This window comes from Homo sapiens, chromosome 14 (genome assembly GCF_000001405.40).
Source record: "Homo sapiens chromosome 14, GRCh38.p14 Primary Assembly".
NCBI classification, from domain to species: Eukaryota; Metazoa; Chordata; class Mammalia; order Primates; family Hominidae; genus Homo; species Homo sapiens.
The window spans coordinates 53613684-53631733 of record NC_000014.9 but is presented as its reverse complement, the minus strand read 5'-3'; the positions used below and the strand labels follow the sequence as shown (position 1 = coordinate 53631733).

At 38.6% G+C, this 18050-nt stretch overlaps 1 long non-coding RNA gene across 3 annotated transcripts in view, besides 3 other annotated features; it reads right to left on the bottom strand.

The window, feature by feature from the left end:
• LOC105370504 (uncharacterized) overlaps positions 1–18050 on the bottom strand; it is a 402142-nt gene that overhangs the window by 91060 nt on the left and 293032 nt on the right. The gene's annotated exons all lie outside the window — the stretch shown is intronic.
• Positions 10041–10110: a silencer, noted in NCBI's record as "silent region_5755". NCBI's record gives its function as "represses an Ori minimal core promoter by ATAC-STARR-seq in GM12878 lymphoblastoid cells {active_cell/tissue: GM12878}" and the evidence as "EXISTENCE:reporter gene assay evidence [ECO:0000049][PMID:35858748]".
• Positions 17678–17777: an enhancer, noted in NCBI's record as "active region_8406". NCBI's record gives its function as "activates an Ori minimal core promoter by ATAC-STARR-seq in GM12878 lymphoblastoid cells {active_cell/tissue: GM12878}" and the evidence as "EXISTENCE:reporter gene assay evidence [ECO:0000049][PMID:35858748]".
• Positions 17798–17897: an enhancer, noted in NCBI's record as "active region_8405". NCBI's record gives its function as "activates an Ori minimal core promoter by ATAC-STARR-seq in GM12878 lymphoblastoid cells {active_cell/tissue: GM12878}" and the evidence as "EXISTENCE:reporter gene assay evidence [ECO:0000049][PMID:35858748]".

Sequence of the window (18050 nt, the reverse complement as noted above, 5' to 3'; positions counted from 1 at the left end):
TTTGCTTTGACTGTTTAAGAAAAGAAACGACATGGTAAGGTTGAAAGAGCACTTAATTTCAGAAGCCATGACCTTTGTCCAGGCTCGTCACATCGGTCTCTCTTAGTTTCCTCATCTAAATAAAGGGGATAGTTTCTGTCCTATATGACTTACAAGGTTGTTGCAATAATCACAGGAGATAATGAATGAGAATTAGATATTGTTATTATTTTCCTTATAATAAAATCATTTTCTGAACATAGTAAGTTTAGAGAGAGACTGTTTGATTTTAGCTAGTCAGATGTATTTTATAATGCTTTTATACCCTGTAACTAGACTGTTCCGAGTATTACAACCACAACATTGGAAGAAAGGAGGGCCATATTTCCTAGCGCTTTCTTAGGAGCAAGAAAGCCTTTCCTACAAGTTCCCAATGATACCCCTCTCCTGATTCATCGGTCAGAAGCGGCTAACATGTCCAACTATTAAACCGAACATTAGCATAGGGGAACGGGACAGCTAAAATTGGCTTAGACATATTTCCTTTGCATCCAATACCATGTTCAAGAGAGTGCATACCTGAACAAGACCAAAGTTTATTTCCCAAGAAAGAGAAACGGTGCTGAGGTTGGAGACCAAAAGTATCTGGTACAGTACTTACCAAACTCTACTAAAAATGGCCTGCCTACATGTCTGAATCCGTTACTCTCTAACTTCTGGGGCAAGAGAGGTAACTTGCTCTTATATCCCAAGCACCCAAGACAATTTCCAAAACCCAGTGGGAACTCAGTAAGCACTTATTGAATTTTATTACCAGATTTTAAATTCATTTTAGCTCTAAGGCACTATAAACATGTTTCAGTGGTAAGCTGACAGTTATTTCTATACTTCTCTTGGTGCTGGGTGGAGACTTATTAGGGAGGAAGAAACACCCCATGGTATGTGTAAAACTCCTGATAGCCTTCTGTGATTCTTTGATTTTTAGGATGATTCCATTTCACTGCCCCCTTTACGTTATTATCTAAAACCTTTAGAACTAATTAGAAGTGGGAGGATCAAAGATGATATATTTTAAATTTGCTTCCCGCCTCACCCACTTAAAGTAAAGAATCCTGCATAGCCCATTAAGCTGGAGGTACTTGCTGACAGGAAGGAAACCATCTGGTGAACAACTTCTGTTAATTATGTTGGAACATACTAACGAGAATAAAGAACAGCCCTTAATGACCTTCCCCTTGGTGGCAGAATCCACTGCAGAGTAGACAGTCGTGGCTCAGAGCCAAAAGTTAATGGTTAGTATTGGCACCGAACACTCAGGCTCACTAGGACTTAATAATCTCCCCTCGGTGGAGAAAGTATTTTAGGCATTCACAGCATAAATCCTCCTACCACCTGCATGTAACTGAGCTCCAAAATAGTCATTTAGGGCATTATTTGGAATCCCTTAGTAAATGTGAATCTGGGTGTTACCTTCTCTGTATCTTTGGACACATCGAATGAGGCCAGACAAAGGTTTGCATTTTGTTTCAACCAATAACAATATTTAAATATTTCCTGGCAAAGAACAGATGCAATTATTGCATATCCCAGAGGGATAAAGATACACAAAAATAATTATCCTCATTATGACCTGGATGAGTTAATTATTTATAATAATATTTCTAATTCCCCTTTACCCTTGGAAATCTAGACAACTCTATGTTGCCCAGCAAAAAGGCCGTTAAAGCTGTGGCATTTATATCACGAATTAGCTATAGGTATCAAAACATAGGTATTTTTGTTTCATTCATTTCTACTTGGTTTCAGAAATATTTTTAAAGTGGCTTACGTAGAATGACAAGACTAGGTAAAATTTAAAAGAAAGTTGTTTAAAATTTAAAAATTTAATATTAAACTTTAAAAAAAGTTTAAAAGGAAACAAGAGGTGAGAAAATAATTTATGGAAGCTAGTAAACAAATAAGCATATCATGAAATACTATGCCTTACTGGAGGTGGGCTACAAACTTGGCCTTAAGCTTCCTAGTAGTCCACTTAGAAAAGGCAAATACGTTAGTGGGCACTTGAGGGGCTTTGGAAAATGTTTTAAAAAACATCTCAAGCCTAAGAGTTTCCTAGTATTAAAAATACTTCAAGCTGACTGTATCACCTAGTACATTCACAATATGTATGCGTTTTTAAAAATCCTAGAAACTGCTGCTTCAAATCAGGTGGAAAATGTTATTTCAACAGAAATCTTAAATAAAAGATGTGTAACTATGAACTGTCAACATTTAACTTTTAAATTATAACAAATCTGTAAAGAATATAAATCTGTAACATATTAAAGTTTAATAATCCTAGATATTTGCCAAGAAAGGGCTTTATATATAATTTCTTGATGTATATTTAAGGCTTTTATATGTACACGAATATAATTTTTATGAAGGCAGGTATGTCCAAGAGAGTGCACAGAAGTAACAAAATAAAAGTTGTTTGTGCCTAAATCATCCCATCTGTGTCTCTTGGATAATACTCAATCTTCTTTGCAACCACATGCATCAAGCTATTGGCTAAATATCCTTGTAGACAGGATGTCTCCTACTTGCATTTGAACTACTCTTTTGTTTAAAATATAAATGCAATTAATTTGCATTATTTACTTAATCTGTCTTTGCATACTAATGTCGCAAAAACTGAAAATAAATATTAGGTCATGATCAACATGCCTCAAAATATCTTTGTGTTCAGTGACTTTAAATAACTTTTGGCAAAAAAACTAACCCCAACTTTCTTTGAAGCTTTTGATGCTTCCCCACCTCCTACTATCCTCTGCGCCGCCCACCACTATCTTTGAAGTTGGCTCATCTGGTAACAGACTTACTGCAAACTGTAGTGCACACCTACCATTCGAAGAGTTAGATGTTGTCCATGTGACAGACTTAATCAGTCCCTTGGTCTCTCAGACGTGCAGCTGGTGGTGAATTCTTTTTTGCTAGTGTAATCTTGTAAGTGTCTTAAGTTAAAATTAAAGCTGCCATTAAATTTTCATCTTGTTCTTCAAGAAGACTGTTTTCTGGAAGTAGCATGTGTATATATTTTCATGTGGCAGTGCCAAAGAGATATTTTATACTACATCAAATCTTTCATGTTCAGATTAATAGAAAAGTCAGTAAAGAATCCAAGTTGTTGGATCTGGGCTAAACCAGGTCACCTAGAATTATTGGTAAAAATAAAAATATGACCCTCTTTGGCAGTTTTATGCTACAGATGCTGCATTTAAGATGACAGCATTGAAATACAGAAAATCATGTGGGATTTATAGAAATTCTCTCCATGTCCAAATTGCCTGGCCTCTACAAGTCAAAATGTCACTTCTGAAACACATCATTTACCAGTCCTTGAGCAAAACAAACAATCCTTAGGATGTCCTCCACGGAACCAACAAGGTAAAAAGTAATAGAGTTGGAATGTTATCACAATAAGGAGAGGATGGAGCTTCAGATATTGCCAACTTTTTGTAGAAAAGTCAAAAAAAAAGGAAAGGGAACTAAAATTAAATACAGGACAAAAAAGACTTTGAAAGGAGAAAACAAAATGAACTTTTGACAACCACCAACAAATATGTATCCTGTGGGAGATGGTGGATGTGGTTGGGGAGATAGAGGATACCAACTAACAGTAGAATATTTACCCTATTCTGCGAAGAAAATCTATATCTGGGTCTATAAGCAAGAGTTACAAGTTTTCACTGCCATTGTAATTGGGTAGAAAAGTATATTCATGTTTTTAACCTCTTTTTAATGGAAGCTAAAGCACAAGAAAAGACATAGGAGGGGACCTCAAAAAGTTTGTGGAAAGTGGAATTAAAAGATAAAAATAAAAAATATAAACTTTATTTTATTTTATTCAAGTTCCGGGGCACATATACAGGATTTGCAGGTTTGTTACAAGAAAACATGTGCCATGGTGGTTTGCTGCACCTATCACCCATCACCTAGGTATTAAGCCCCACATCCATTAGCTTTTCTTTTTTTTATGCTCTCCCTCCCTCCCTGACTCCCCACCAGCCCCAGTGTGTGTTGTTACCCTCGTTTCTTTCTCAAAATAAGCTCCACCAAGTTTAAGGCACTCTTATAAGTACCCAGTCATTTAATCCATCCTTAAACAACTGAAGGTCCTGAGAATTTAATCATGTCAATGCAGTCTTTTTCATTATTAACTGAAGAAAAATGGATGCCCTTTAAAGACTTTTTTAAGATTAGAAAACAAACAAACAAAAAAACTCAGAAGGTAATCAGGACTATAAGTTGCATGCCTAATTATTTTCCATTGTTTGTTGAGAAGAATAAGAAGGAGCATTATCATGTTGGAGAAGGACTCTAGTGAAGATTTCTTGGGCATTTTCTGCTAAAGTTTTGGCTAACCTTCTCATAATAAGCACATGTTATCATTCTTTGGCCTTCCAGAAAGTCAACAGGCAAAATGCCATGAGCTGCCCCAAAAAATCTGTTGCCCTGACCTTTGCTCTTGACTAGTCCTCTTTTGCTGTGACTGGACCCCTTCCCTCCTTGGTAGCCATTGCTTTGATTGTGCTTCGTCTTCAGGATCATACTGGTAAAGCCATGTTTCTTCTCCCGTTACAATTCTTCAAAGAAAGGCTTCAAGATCTTGATCCCATTTACATAAAATCTCCACTGAAAGCTCTGCTCTTGTCTGAAGCCAATCTGGGCACAACAGTTTTGGCACACAGCAAGTGGAAAGTTTGCCTAACATTGATTTTTTAATCAGAACTCTCTGTATGCTGAACTAATTGAGATGTCTGTGGTGTTGGCTATTGTTTCTGCTGTTAATCATTGGTCCTCTTCAAGAAGGGCACGAACAAGATGAAATTTTTTTCTCACAGATTGATATGGATGGTTTGCCACTGCATGCCTCATCTTCAACATCATCTCATTCTTTTTAAAACAAGTTGTCATTTGTAAACTGTTCATTTATTTGGGGCATTGCCACCATAAACTTTTCATAAAACATCAATAATTTTGCCATTCTTCCACCCAAGCTTTACCATAAATTTGATATTTGTTCTTGCTTCAATTTTAGCAAAATTCATGTTGTTCAGATAAAGGCTGTTTTTAAATTGATGTTTATCCTTCTTAGTGTCTCACACTAGGTCCTGTTTGACATGCTATAAGTTAATACGAGTTTATTTTGGTTCAAAAAAATTTTTGAAATCTATGCTTACTTTTTTCGTGATATGCATTTTCCGTGACATTTTTGAAGTCCTTTTATATATTAAACTTTTATTATTCTTTAGGAAAGAATTCTAATTTTGTGCTTAAGATTTGATACTCAGAATAGTGAGGTTGTGGGTCAGAAAATCTTGGGACAGATTCCAAGCTCTACAGACTCCAAACTAGGTTATCTCTACTGAGCAAGTTTGCTAACCTATTTAACCTACAAATTTCTCATCTGTGAAATGGAAATAGTATCTTTTGCATAGTAAAAGTAATAAATACAAATTATGTTGAGCCTTTAGCACAGTGTGTGTCACATAAGTGATTGATAAAGTATAACTGATATTTCTAGTGAAAATACATGAGAACCCTACCTCCTAACAAGTGTTACAAAATTATTCTAAGGCAGGAGAGTACTGTGTTAGGAGCATCCTATAAGACATAGATCTAAATTGCAGAATAGATTTAGAATACATAGCGTATGCTAGATAATAAAAAACCTCCATGCCTTTCTTCTTTGAAAAGATTATGATACAGTTCCAAATTAGGTAAGGAACAAAACACTATGTCCTGAGGTTCTATTAAATGATGAAGAAACAAATTCGTATAGGTAAATATGAGACTCTTTCTTTTTGAAATATACATATTTTTTGTTTTGGATGATCTCTGGATTCTTGGGTAACTTAGGAGTGAAAAGCCATGATTCAATTTTGTACTATCATTCTAAAAGAATAAGTAAAGGCTTTTATCTTGGTTTAGCAATTATTGTGTTCGTCTCAGAGGGTAGAAATTTGACTCCTATATCTACAGACTCACCTTGTTGTAGGCAAATTGCTTAATCTCCTTTTTAATCATCTTCCTCATCCATAAAACAGCACAATAATATTCACCTATCTCACAGAGTGTTATGTGTCTTTATTAGTTAATGTTTGGAAGAATAATATCCTTAGATGAAAGGAAATGTGAAGTGTAATTATCATTTTATTTTTGCATGATACATTATGGAATGAGACCTTAAGATGCTGTTCCTGTGACAGAGGCCAATAGAGATACGCAGATCTGTGCATCTGATGGCCAACAAACAGCCTATACAGAAATGATATGAAAGGTTTTATCAGACTCTAATTTCAGAATTTTTTTTTTATCTCCAACTGCATGAGTTAGCCAGTGATGAAGGAAAAGAGAATTAGGTATTTCCTCCATCATCACAGCATTCTACCTTCAGTTTTTACCTGTCTCTTAATCAAACAATCCTACCACATTGAGAATTCATTCTTTTCAAGGTCAGGTTGAGGGGAAGGGTCTCTAAGAATAAATCAGTAGTTAACAATAGGAACATAAATAAGGTATTTCTCTGTGTTCACCCTTTTTTATCTTTGATTTTTTTTCCTCTCATACATCTTTTGGATGAACCATTTGTCGTTTTTGTTGTTTTCTTTTCCATGAAATTGCCACAAACCTCAGCATTGAATGTGAAATTTTAGAACCCAGGGATACACCAATGAGAATATACCCTATTACACAGTGACTGTTTCTCCCTTACATTTTCAATGGCTAGGACTGTTTTGAAAGACTGTTGCAGGGTTTGATGATGCTTGGAAAACACTTTAGACCCCTGAAGGAAGCAGAGAGCATACCAAAGGATTTCTAACCAAGTAACCACCCTACAGATTTACTTGCTATAATAAAAATACACACTAGTCACATCCCTGGTCTGCTTAAAACCACCTTTTCATGGCTTCCCACAGTCCATAGGTAAAGGTCATGATTTAGTAGCACTTTACAAACCAGCACCAATCTTCATTACAGTCTTGCTGCCTACTGCCCTCCTTACTCCGAACCCTCAGCACAAAATGCTTTTCCCTAACCTCATTCTAATCCTTCAGGACTCAGGTCAAAAGTTCTCTCTCACCATCCAGGAAGTTTTTATAGTTACATCTCTGAGTCTCCCTATTATTCATAAACACATTTGCATTAACAATTGTTGCATTTATATATAAAAATTACATATATTTGTTTATTAACAAATTATTTAATGTGTTATTTAAATTTAAATTATATTACATTTTTATTATGTATTTATGTTTTATTTATACTTTATATATGTATATATGTTTATTTCTCTAATTTATATTTGTCTGTATATTTATATAGTTATTGTGTAAACATTAATTAAATACATGAAATATTTAAATGTATTTATGTTTATATAAATATGCATAGATTCATAGATGTGTATGCTTTATATATATCCTCATTACTATTTATTTAGAATTTTATTTATATGTTTATATTTATTTGTATTTAGAGTATGTTCAATTAAATATTAATATTAAATAAAATTATTTAATTTCCTTTCTACTTCAACTACTAGGCTGTGAATTCCTCTAGGTCAAGTATTCAAAATGAGATTCAAACTCAACTCAATACAATGATAATACCTACCTTTATTGAGCACTAATTTCATGCCAGACCCTGGGCAAAGTGGTTTGTGTACATTATCTCATTTAATCTACACAATCATTGAAGGATATCACTGTTATTATTATCCACATTTAAAGATGAAAAGCAGTAACTCACCCCTAGTATTGAGTGCTTAGTTAGGCTTTGAACCCAGTTTTGGTCTTAACTCCAAAGACCTGGCCTTTGACCACTGGGTGATGGGAAAGCAAGGTGAGGGCCATGCATCCTAGTGGGTAAGAGCCAAGCAAGGGTTTGGGAGTCAGATAACCGAGGCACAAGTCCCTATTCCATTATCTCTTAGTGGCGTGGATCTAGAATATTTCCGTCTTTCATGACCATTTTGTGTGAGAGAGACCCAGATGCAGAGTGAATGCCAATTGGGAAAAGGAAAATGTATCAGTAGTTAGTGATAGAAAATTTAGATTTTGTAAAAAAAATGGACATTGTTACTTCCTCGATGACAAAACTAAAAAGAACACTGGCTAAAAGTTAAATTCCATTATTTTCTACCCTTTAGTTCCTTGCAACTCAAGAAAAGGTAACATTAGAATCACCTGGGAGTTCGTGAGAAATACAGAACCTCAAGCTCCAACCCAGAGTACAGAATCAAGTTCTGTATTTGGACGAGATCCTCCAGTGATGCCTACATAGGACATAGCTTGAGAAGTGCTTGTTTGTATCATTCTCTCCCTGACCAATACGATTAAATTGTGATTCCAAATAAGACTTGTTGATTCTCCAACTTTATATCTAAAAGAAATTCAGGGATTACAGGAGAGAAGTAAGGGTGCAAGTAAACCAAGAATCAGTCTAATATCAGGTTGGCTGCAAGCAAGCCCTGTGATCTCAGCAAATTACTTTCTCTATGACTTAAATTCCATCTCTATAACAAATGTTTTAGAAGGAAGGAGGAAAAGAAGGAGATAGAAAAGAGGGAAATCAGTATAGATAATTATAAAGGAGACTTTCTAAATTCAAATATTCATTAAGTATAAGATTAATAAAGTAAAACAGACCTGACTAAAAATTATAAGGATTGTGTGTCTGTCTTAACTACTGCTATATTTTCTAGTACTTAGTAGGTGCTGTGTAAATATAAATGAACTAATAATGAAGAAGTGATCACTCTCACACTTAAAAATAGTCAGAAGTCTTTCTCAAACTAGCAGCACCTTCTTCTGTACTCTTATCATAATTTGTTTACATCCGTTGACACTTAAGACAATGTAACAAATTTATTAAACAACATACAATCATCCATAACCCTATCTACTAATAACATTTCTGCAGATTTTCTCCCCTCAGCACACATCTTTTACGTAGCTAATATCATAGAGTACGTAGATTTGCAATCTGCATATTTCTATACTATATAATAGCACTGGCATATGGCAGCCATCCAAGAGACATTTGTGAATGTGCATAGCTTTCATAATTATCTTAGGACTGCATAATATTTCTTCAAGTTAATGTGCCCTCATTTTTAAAACAGTCCATAATGTTGAACATGTTGGTGGTTTTTACATTTTTTTTCCCTTTTACAAAATAATTCTAGAGGAACATCTTTGAGAATGTAGATTTGTGGGTCTGTCGAGTGACATTTCTTTGACATTCACAGGAGTGGATTGATTGGAACAAAGAGCACATCATTATGGCTCTTGTTACATACTGCTGAATTTTCTTTCTAGTTCCCAGCCTTTAGGATTGTGAGAGAGTCCTAAATTTTCCAGTGGCTGTAGCAAAAACTAGAAGCCAGAAGCCAGCTACTGGTGCCACCACAGTCCTTGAAAATGGCAAGACAGACATTCCCACATTCTTTTCTTTCATAGACAATTTAAACAAAATGGAAACCCTGCACTAGAATTTGGCTTACAGCATCTAATGGATGAAATATCGTGTTACACAAATGACCAGACCTGCTGGATAAACAAGATACATTCAGAGTTGCATTCTTTCCCAGAATCTTTGGAGCATGGATTCACAATTCTATTTCTAGCCTATTTTTAAAATATCAAAGAGAAGGACCAGATGTCACAATGAATTAATATCCTGGACTTACAAATCTGGAGACATAGGTTCAAATTCTCCCCAGTTGAAAGTAAATACGAGTTTTCTGGCTTCTTGGAGCTCCCTAGTGAATATTTCATTCACCCCCAAATTTGACAGTTTGACAGGATGATCCCAGCATCTTCTTTTCTATCATGACCTGAGGGCTGAAAGCTCAGATGAAGTGAGGCAGGTGCCATAACTGAGCCGAAGGAAAATCCAGCCTCATCTCCCACTCCCCTCACCACACAGACCTCTAGGGATTCCTCTCTCCTATTCAACATTTCCCCATCAAGAGGCACTGAGTTACACAGCTGTTGCTTAAGAGAGACAGGAAATAAAGGAGGAGGAGCTCTGGCCCTTTGACTGACTTAGTGATGGAGAGTCAAAGGCCATCAAAGTGCAGCTGCACAGTCCATTGGCATGGCCATGGTACTGTTGCAGTCCATCCAAGTGGATCCCATGAAGGCTCTCCCTTGATGGATTTCCCCTTAGCGACACTCACTTTTATTCTCTACTTGAGTCAGTTTCTGACACCCGTCACAGAGACTGTGGCAATGTTATTAACATATTTATGCTTGATGGCCTTTTCTTCTAGGAAGTCTTCCTGCTAAGCTGGGGTTACGTACCCTGTTGTCATGCTCTCCTGGCACCTTTCTTCCCATCCCAGCACTGCTTTTACTTCCTGCAATAGCCATACCTATCTGCTTCCCTCTGGGGCCCTAGACTCCATGAGAGCAGAGAATGCACCTACCCACTTCACTTCACTATTTAAAGATCTCAGTAAGTTCTTCTAGATCATCCTAGAAATCACTGGAGACACCTCTGGGAAAAGAAGAGTGGTGTGGGAGAGGCAAACTTTGTGTAGGAGAGGCCCCCCTGATGGGGGATGAAAAGGGAAATGCCCCAGCCTCACAGCCAGCTGGGCACCTCACTCAAGTGAATTTCCCTAGAAACCCCAGTGGGTCCTCATGTGGAAAGTGTGGCTGGTGTGATGATAGAAAATGGCAAATGATCTTTCCCTCAAAAAGGCAAAGGAAAGGGAGGTAGCACGTTAAGCATCAATGCCAAGATGTAACCCACAATAATTACAGTTCAAGAAAACCTGAACTTGGAAAATTTTGATTAAAAAAAACCCTACATGTACAATCTTACTTCATATCTGTTTTTCTTTCTAGTTACGTTGGATTTTCAATTTAAAGTACATTTAAATGGACATTTTAAAAGGCAGAAGGAGCAAATTCACACAACTCCCCCAGCAGCTTGCCCATGGGATTCATCATGGGGAGAAAGCCTGGCTGATCCTGGGCTTTCTGAAGAGGTGGGCTGTCCACTTGTCACCCCATATGAAGATGCTCTGCTTTTATGTGAGTTCAGCTCTATCAAACTATGAGCATATGTTTCAAAAAAAAAAAACTATGTCTTTTAAGGCATAGTAAAGACAGCTGAAACATTCTTTCTCTCCCTCCAGAAACCTAGGAATGAATTCCTCACCACTAAGGCAGAGTCCAGGAGAGAAAAGGCAACCAGCCAGAGAGGAAAAGGGAATCCAGAGAGAGCCGATCAAGTCAGGCCAAGTTAATAACAGACCTGCAAAGACCAGCCTCCAAGACTCTAACCTGCAGCCATGGGGAAATCCCAAAGAACCTGTCTCTTTAATTTTTTTTTCCCTGAAAAATATTATCTGGAGCTCTTCCTCTAAGTCTCTCGGCACCCTGATATTTGGGATAATTGCACCCACTGCTCTTAAGCTTGGGTGCTAAAATCCCCTCCTGGAGTTGAGTTTTTAAAGGGAGCAGATTTAAAGCTGTCAGCAGTAGAGGAGAGAAGGCCAAATTGCTCTCATGCTTGAGCCTGTGGCCCAATTTGTTTGTAATTGGATTGGTATGCAGGGAAGATAGAGCTGTCTGGGGGAAATGCTACATGATTCCCTTTAGTAGAGGATACTACTGATGCTGCTCATAGCCCAGCGCCAGATCCCAACTAATGAGGGAGGGCAGTGAGACCCTAAACGCAGAGGAGAAGGGCCAATTCCATGTATTCACCAGGTAAAAGGACAGCAGGGGATGCCCTTCACCAAATTTAACCCAGAAATCAGAGCATACATTGCAAGGTTTGTGTGCAAAGTTAGGGAATGTGGGCCAAGGAGGAAGCTTGGATGACAGAAGGGAGGAGAAGATGAAGCTGGACAGGATTCCAAGAGTCTAATAGCAGCCCTTTACCAGGAGAACTTTTTTTTTAATAAAATGAAATTGCTGCAACTTCCATTGCCTTCTCAGTTGAGTCTACATGGCCCAATTGTCAGCCAATAATATAAATTCCATCTGCAGGCCATCGCCAGCTGCAGAGCCTGAAAAATGTAGGCTTGGGGAGAAAGAGATTTAGTTCTACTCTCGGTTTTGCTACATACCATTTATGAAACTTTGGCAAGATACTTAACCCAATTGAAGCTCAGTCTTCTGGTCTGTAAAATGAAAATAATAACTCCTATGAGAATGCTGACTTAAAGGGATCTTGAAAGTCTGAAGAGCCATATTGGGTAAAATTCATGGTCAATCAGCATTATCCCCCCCCACCTTTATATATGTTCCCCTTTATCTCAGGCACCAGAAGCCTGGGAACTACATATCCCAGATTTGCTTTCCACCAAGGTTCTGAATTTGACTTACATTTGACAATGAAATTCATTTGTGAGATATCTGTAAGGGGAAAGAGAGCAAGAGATGCCTCTTCCTCTGTCAATGGTGGTGGTGGTGACTTGAGTATGAGCTCCCACAGATGTGACCAACATAGTAGCTGGCTGGTCACCTCTAGGCACCAGCTTCAAGGCTGTGGGCCAGTTATTATTTCCTGACCTCAGGTGGCAACCTGTGTGACATAACCTGAAAGCTAAGAGTAATCCACCTTACTTTCTTGGTTCTAGTCTTTTCCACAGCATAGTACTTTCTTGGTTCTAGTCTTTTCTGCAATGTAGTAAGCACTCATATTTGCTTTCTATTCCTATTTGTTTCAGGCAATGGAAGGCAATGGAAGTTGCAGCAATTTCATTTTACTAAAAAAATTTATATAGCAAATTATCACAAACTTAGCACCTTAAAACAACACTTATCACACACTTCCGTAGAGCAGGTGAGCTCAACTTGGTTCTCTACTCTGGGTTCTCACAGGGCTGAAATCAAGGGGTCAGTCAGATTGAGCTCTTATCTGGAGGCGCTGGAAAGAATCTACATCCAAGTTCATTCATGTGGTTGGAAGAATTTACTTCCTCCTGCTTTTAGGACTGACATTCCCCTTTCCTTGCTAACATCAACCAGGGGCCTCTCTCAACTCCTTAAAGCCACCTACGTTCCTTCCCACAAGGCCTCCTGCATCCTCCACGTGGAGTCCTTCTCACAACATCACAGCCAGCAGCAGAATCCTTGTGTCAAATCCATCCCCACACTTTAACTCTGATTTGCTTTTCCTTTACGAGGAGAAAGCTGCCTGCTTTTAAGGGCTCATGTGATTAGATCAGGCCCCTTAGATAATCTCCTTTTCTTAAACTGAGTCATATAATATATCACAGGAGTGTTATATTAGCATACTTACAGCTTATAGAATTACAGTATAAGATTTTTGGGGAACCATTTGATAAATTCTGCCTACCATAGCACCTAATTCCCTCTATTAAATCACATCCTGCATGAAAAACCTACAGTGGTTTCTGTTTTCCTGTACTGAACCATAAGGGATCTGAGACCACTGTCTGCAAACAAACTCTAAAGTAGAGAAAATATCCCTTAAGGTTTCATAATGGTCTTACCCTTGGAACATGGTGGACCTTTACCCAACAAACATCAGTTCAACAAACAATTATTTAGCAACTGTCATGTACCAGGTTGTGCTACATTTAAGGCAATCAAAAAAGAATAAGAAACCCTCCTACCCTTATGGTCTAACTGGCAAAATAGCCACATGAATAGAGCATTTCAGTGGATTATAGCATCAGAGATTTTAAGAGAGATTAGGTTCAAAGTGGAACACTATTCATTTACTCAAGAAATATTGTTTAGACAGCTACTCTGGGTCAGGCATTGGCTTAGGTGCCAGCGATTGGAAGACTAATAGAGTAGGTTCCTCCCTGGAGAATCTCAAGTCTGATGGAGGAATTGGATATGTAATCACAATAAAATATAATGTTATAATAATGTCTGCAATATTTAGACTTTTTACTAGGTACCCTACACTATGCTAAATACTTTAAGTACATTATCCTTTTTAACTTTTACTTTAAGCCACGGCTGGGCATGTTGGCTCATGCCTGCAATCCCAGAACTTTGGGAGGCCGAGGCGGGTGGATCACCCGAGGTCAGGAGTTCGAGACCAGCCTGGCCAACATAGTGAAACCCTATCTCTACTGAAAATAAAAATCAGCTGGGCATGGTGGCTCGCACCTGTAATCCCAGCTACTCAGGAGGCTGAGGCGGGAGAATAGCTTCAACCAGGGAGGTGGAGATTGCAGTGAGCCAAAATACAGCCATTGCACTTCAGCCTAGATGACAAGAACAAAACTCTGTCAAAAAAAAAAAAAAAAAAAAAGCTTACCTTAAGCCTAAGAGTTATATACAATTATTTTCTAAATTTTACAGAGGAGGAAAATGAGGCTGAAAACAATTAGGTCACTTTTCTAGGAAAAGATAGATCTGAGTTTGCAACCCAGATAGACCCAATTCTGTCACTCCCACCCCACCCCCTCAGGGGATCACTTCAGGATCATTTCTCAACATTTCTGTACTGCTTGCTCCACCCCACCTCCACAGTTTACTGCCATTCCCACACACATGGGCTTCACTTCCTACAGCCAACACCTGCACTCTTTCTTGGAGAACTATCTTTTGAGTCTCCTTTGCCCACACAAATGGAGAAACCAAAGTGTCTTAGGGAGTGCATGTCCCCTGGGGTGGTTCTTGACCCATACCTGCTGGATATGAGGGTATGAAAACTCCAGTTCCTTTGCCTTAGGTTAGGACAACTCTGAGGCCTGATGTATAATTATTGACTTTGCCTGCAGATTGGGCAAAAGATGATCGAATTTGTCTGTGATTGTACACTCCCTTGGCTTCCTCCTTCCCCTCACCTCTGTGCACCCCTCCCCACTACTTTCCCAGTTTCCTTTGGGAATTTCCTCATTGTGATGGTTAATATTATATTGAGTGTCAACTTGATTGCATTGAAGGATGCAAAGTATTGTTCCTGGGTGTGTCTGTGATGGTGTTGCCAAAGAAGATTAACATTTGAGTCAGTGGACTGGGAAAGGCAGACCCACCCACAATCTGGGTGGACACAATCTAATTGGCTTCCAGGATGGCCAGAATAAAAGCAGGCAGAAGAACATGGAAAGACAAGACTAGCTAAGTCTTCTGGCCTTCATCTTTCTCCCATGCTTGATGCTTCCGGTCCTCAAATATCAGACTCCAAGTTCTTCACCGTTTGGACTCTTGGACTTATACCAGTGGTTTGCCAAGGGCTCTCTGGCTTTTGGCCACACACTGAAGACTGCACTGTTGGCTTCCCTACTTCTGAGGTTTTGGGACTCAGACTGGCTTCCTTGCTCCTCAGCTTGCAGATGGCCTATTGTGGGACTTCACCTTGTGATCATGTGAGTCAATTCCCCTAATAAACTCCCCTTCATATATGCATGTATCCTATTAGTTTTGTCCCTCTAGAGAACCCTGACTAATACATTCATAAACACTTTAGCACAGATCAGAGGGTCTGCCCTAAGACACCACTGCTCTGATATTTACACTACACCACTATGGGAACCAAGAGGAGTGACTATATCCATTTGGGGCAGTTGGCATAGCATTCCCAGAGAAAGTAATATTTCTGGGTTATAAGCAGAGGTCTGCCAAGATGGACAAGTGGGAAGAAGAGCATTCCAGCTGAAGAGAATGGAACACACAAAAACACAGAAAAAGGAAGGTTAAGGGCAAGTTGAAGGATGGAGAAACAGGTTGGATAGCCGGAGCCAAGGGTAGAGGAGGCAAGACCTGCAGTAAGTAGGAATCCTCAGGCCAGGAGAAGCACCTAAGAGTATTAAGGGAGATAGACCATGATCACCTTTATCTTTTTGATTCAGCAAATACTTACTGAGAGCTTACAATGAAGGTAGGAAACCAACCTAGTCACTTGGGGGATATTACAATGACAACCACTAAATACATGTGCATATTTAAATTTAAATTAATTAAAATTAAATTTTAATTTCCCAGTCACACTAGCCACATTTCAAATGCTCAGTAGTCACATGTGGCTAGTGGCTCTCACACTGGTTAGTGCAGGTATCGAACATTTGTATCACTGCAGAAAGTTCTATTGGATGGTGACAATCTAATCACAGGAGGGGATAGCTATTCACCTTCCATCTAATTTTTCATTTTATGTGGCTATTTCCTTTTTAGTCTTTTTAAAAAGTTACTTCTTCTGCCTGTCCCTTTTAGTCAGAAGAATCTGAGGATTCTTTTGATGGCACAGTGGGGCGGCTGCACAAGCACCTGCATTGGGCAATCAGATCATAGTAGTGGTTGTCAAAAGATTGCAAAAGGGATTGCAGAAATCCCTTTGAAAATGCACGTGGTCTTTTATGTATTGGATGAGCGAGATATGCTCACACCTGCCTAGAGAATCCAAGTAGTGGGGTCTGCCTGCCTCAATCTGTTCACCTTATTCATTCTGAATGTGTGTAGCTCAAAGCATGTCCTCCCAAAGCAAAAGAATATTTACAAAAGAGACACAAACTGAATTCCTCACCTGGCACTCTGTCATTTCCAGTGCCACACAAATGAAAGTAAACCAGCCACTAGCAACAGTCATTTCCGAAATCCAGTGGGAAATTTAAAACTCATGATTTTATATATTTTACATAATAAATTCATAGGAACTGGAATTTTATTTGAAGAGTTGTTTCCTTCTGCTTCTTCATCTTCCATTTGATTACAAGAACCAACCAACCAACCAACCAACCAAGTTTTTACTGATATCCTAGAATAAATCTATCAAACAGAAACACTGAGCTGTGTTTAATCAGTGTCACTGCAGAGAAATTTAAACTTAACACAGTACAAATCATAATAATTATGCATTTAAATACTAAATTCACCCTAAAGAGGCAATTTAGTATTTAACTGAGAAAAGAACAAGTGTCTCTTTATTCCTGGTATGGTACACCTTTCAGGTTTCAAACAAATACCACCCACTTTATAAAAGCTCTCCTCGTTATCATAATAACAAGAGGAATTATAAGAGAGGAAAAATGCTATTTTTAAAAATAAAATTTCAACTTTTATTGACCGTGATGCCTGTATCAACAGCTTAACCCAGTCTGCTTTATATGACTTTTAGTAGCCAAATAAAGTATAATATTTTTTAAAAGCTTGTAAACACTAGTAGACCAGTTCTTAAAGGCCTGGAACAGCTACATGAACCAGAAGCTACATAGAAAAGAGATTGTATTTTTTCTAAGGCAGAGAAGGTGTCATTGCAATCAATAAGATGTCTTTTACAGTTTTTCTTCTTTTGGTGTGTGTGTGTGTGTGTGTGTGTGTGTGTGTGTGTGTGTGTGTGTGTGTGTGTGTTTAGGGCTTGGTTAATTCTATTGCCCTTGCACCTGCAAGCAAAAGGGTACAGAATATTCCCACTCTCCTTTTTCTCTAATTCTACAAGACTGAGGAAGGAACAGCGACCAAGCTCTTAAAGTTTTCCAGCTGCTTATAGAGAGGTGGGTTGTGTTCCACATTTTACTCTTACAGCCCTGCCACCAGATGAAAGGAAAAGCATAAAAGCATCAGCAAAGCCTGGACTCTGCTTTTCCTGCTCTAACATGCCATCAAATAGAGACAGAGCACTCGACTGATGTAGGCATTCTGTTGTTCGTATTTGCCGAGTTCAGCTAAGAATGTCTGAGATCAACAGGTGGCCTTGCTAATGGAACAGATTCACTCATTGTTTGTGTGTTTAATGAATCATTGAGTTACTGATCAACAGTGAGCAATGGAAGCTGTTCAAACAGAAAGGAAGCCCAGCCGTGAGGTGGTGCTGCCAACACACTCCTTTGAAGCTCGGCTGGCCCCTGTGGGGAGTGCAGGAGGCTGGGGGTCTACTCCCTACGGTTCCCAGAGAAATGGTAGCAAGAAGACGGTGTTATTTCTAATTGGATGATGAAAGTCAGCCTAGGGGACAGAGACCAAAGGGCCATACGTAAGAAGAGGAGGAAGTGAAAACATCTGAATCAAAGGTTGAGGTAAAACTGAGAGACAGTGTTTGCAGTGAACCATGCAGTAACCTTCATCTTGCCCCCTGGTCTTCAG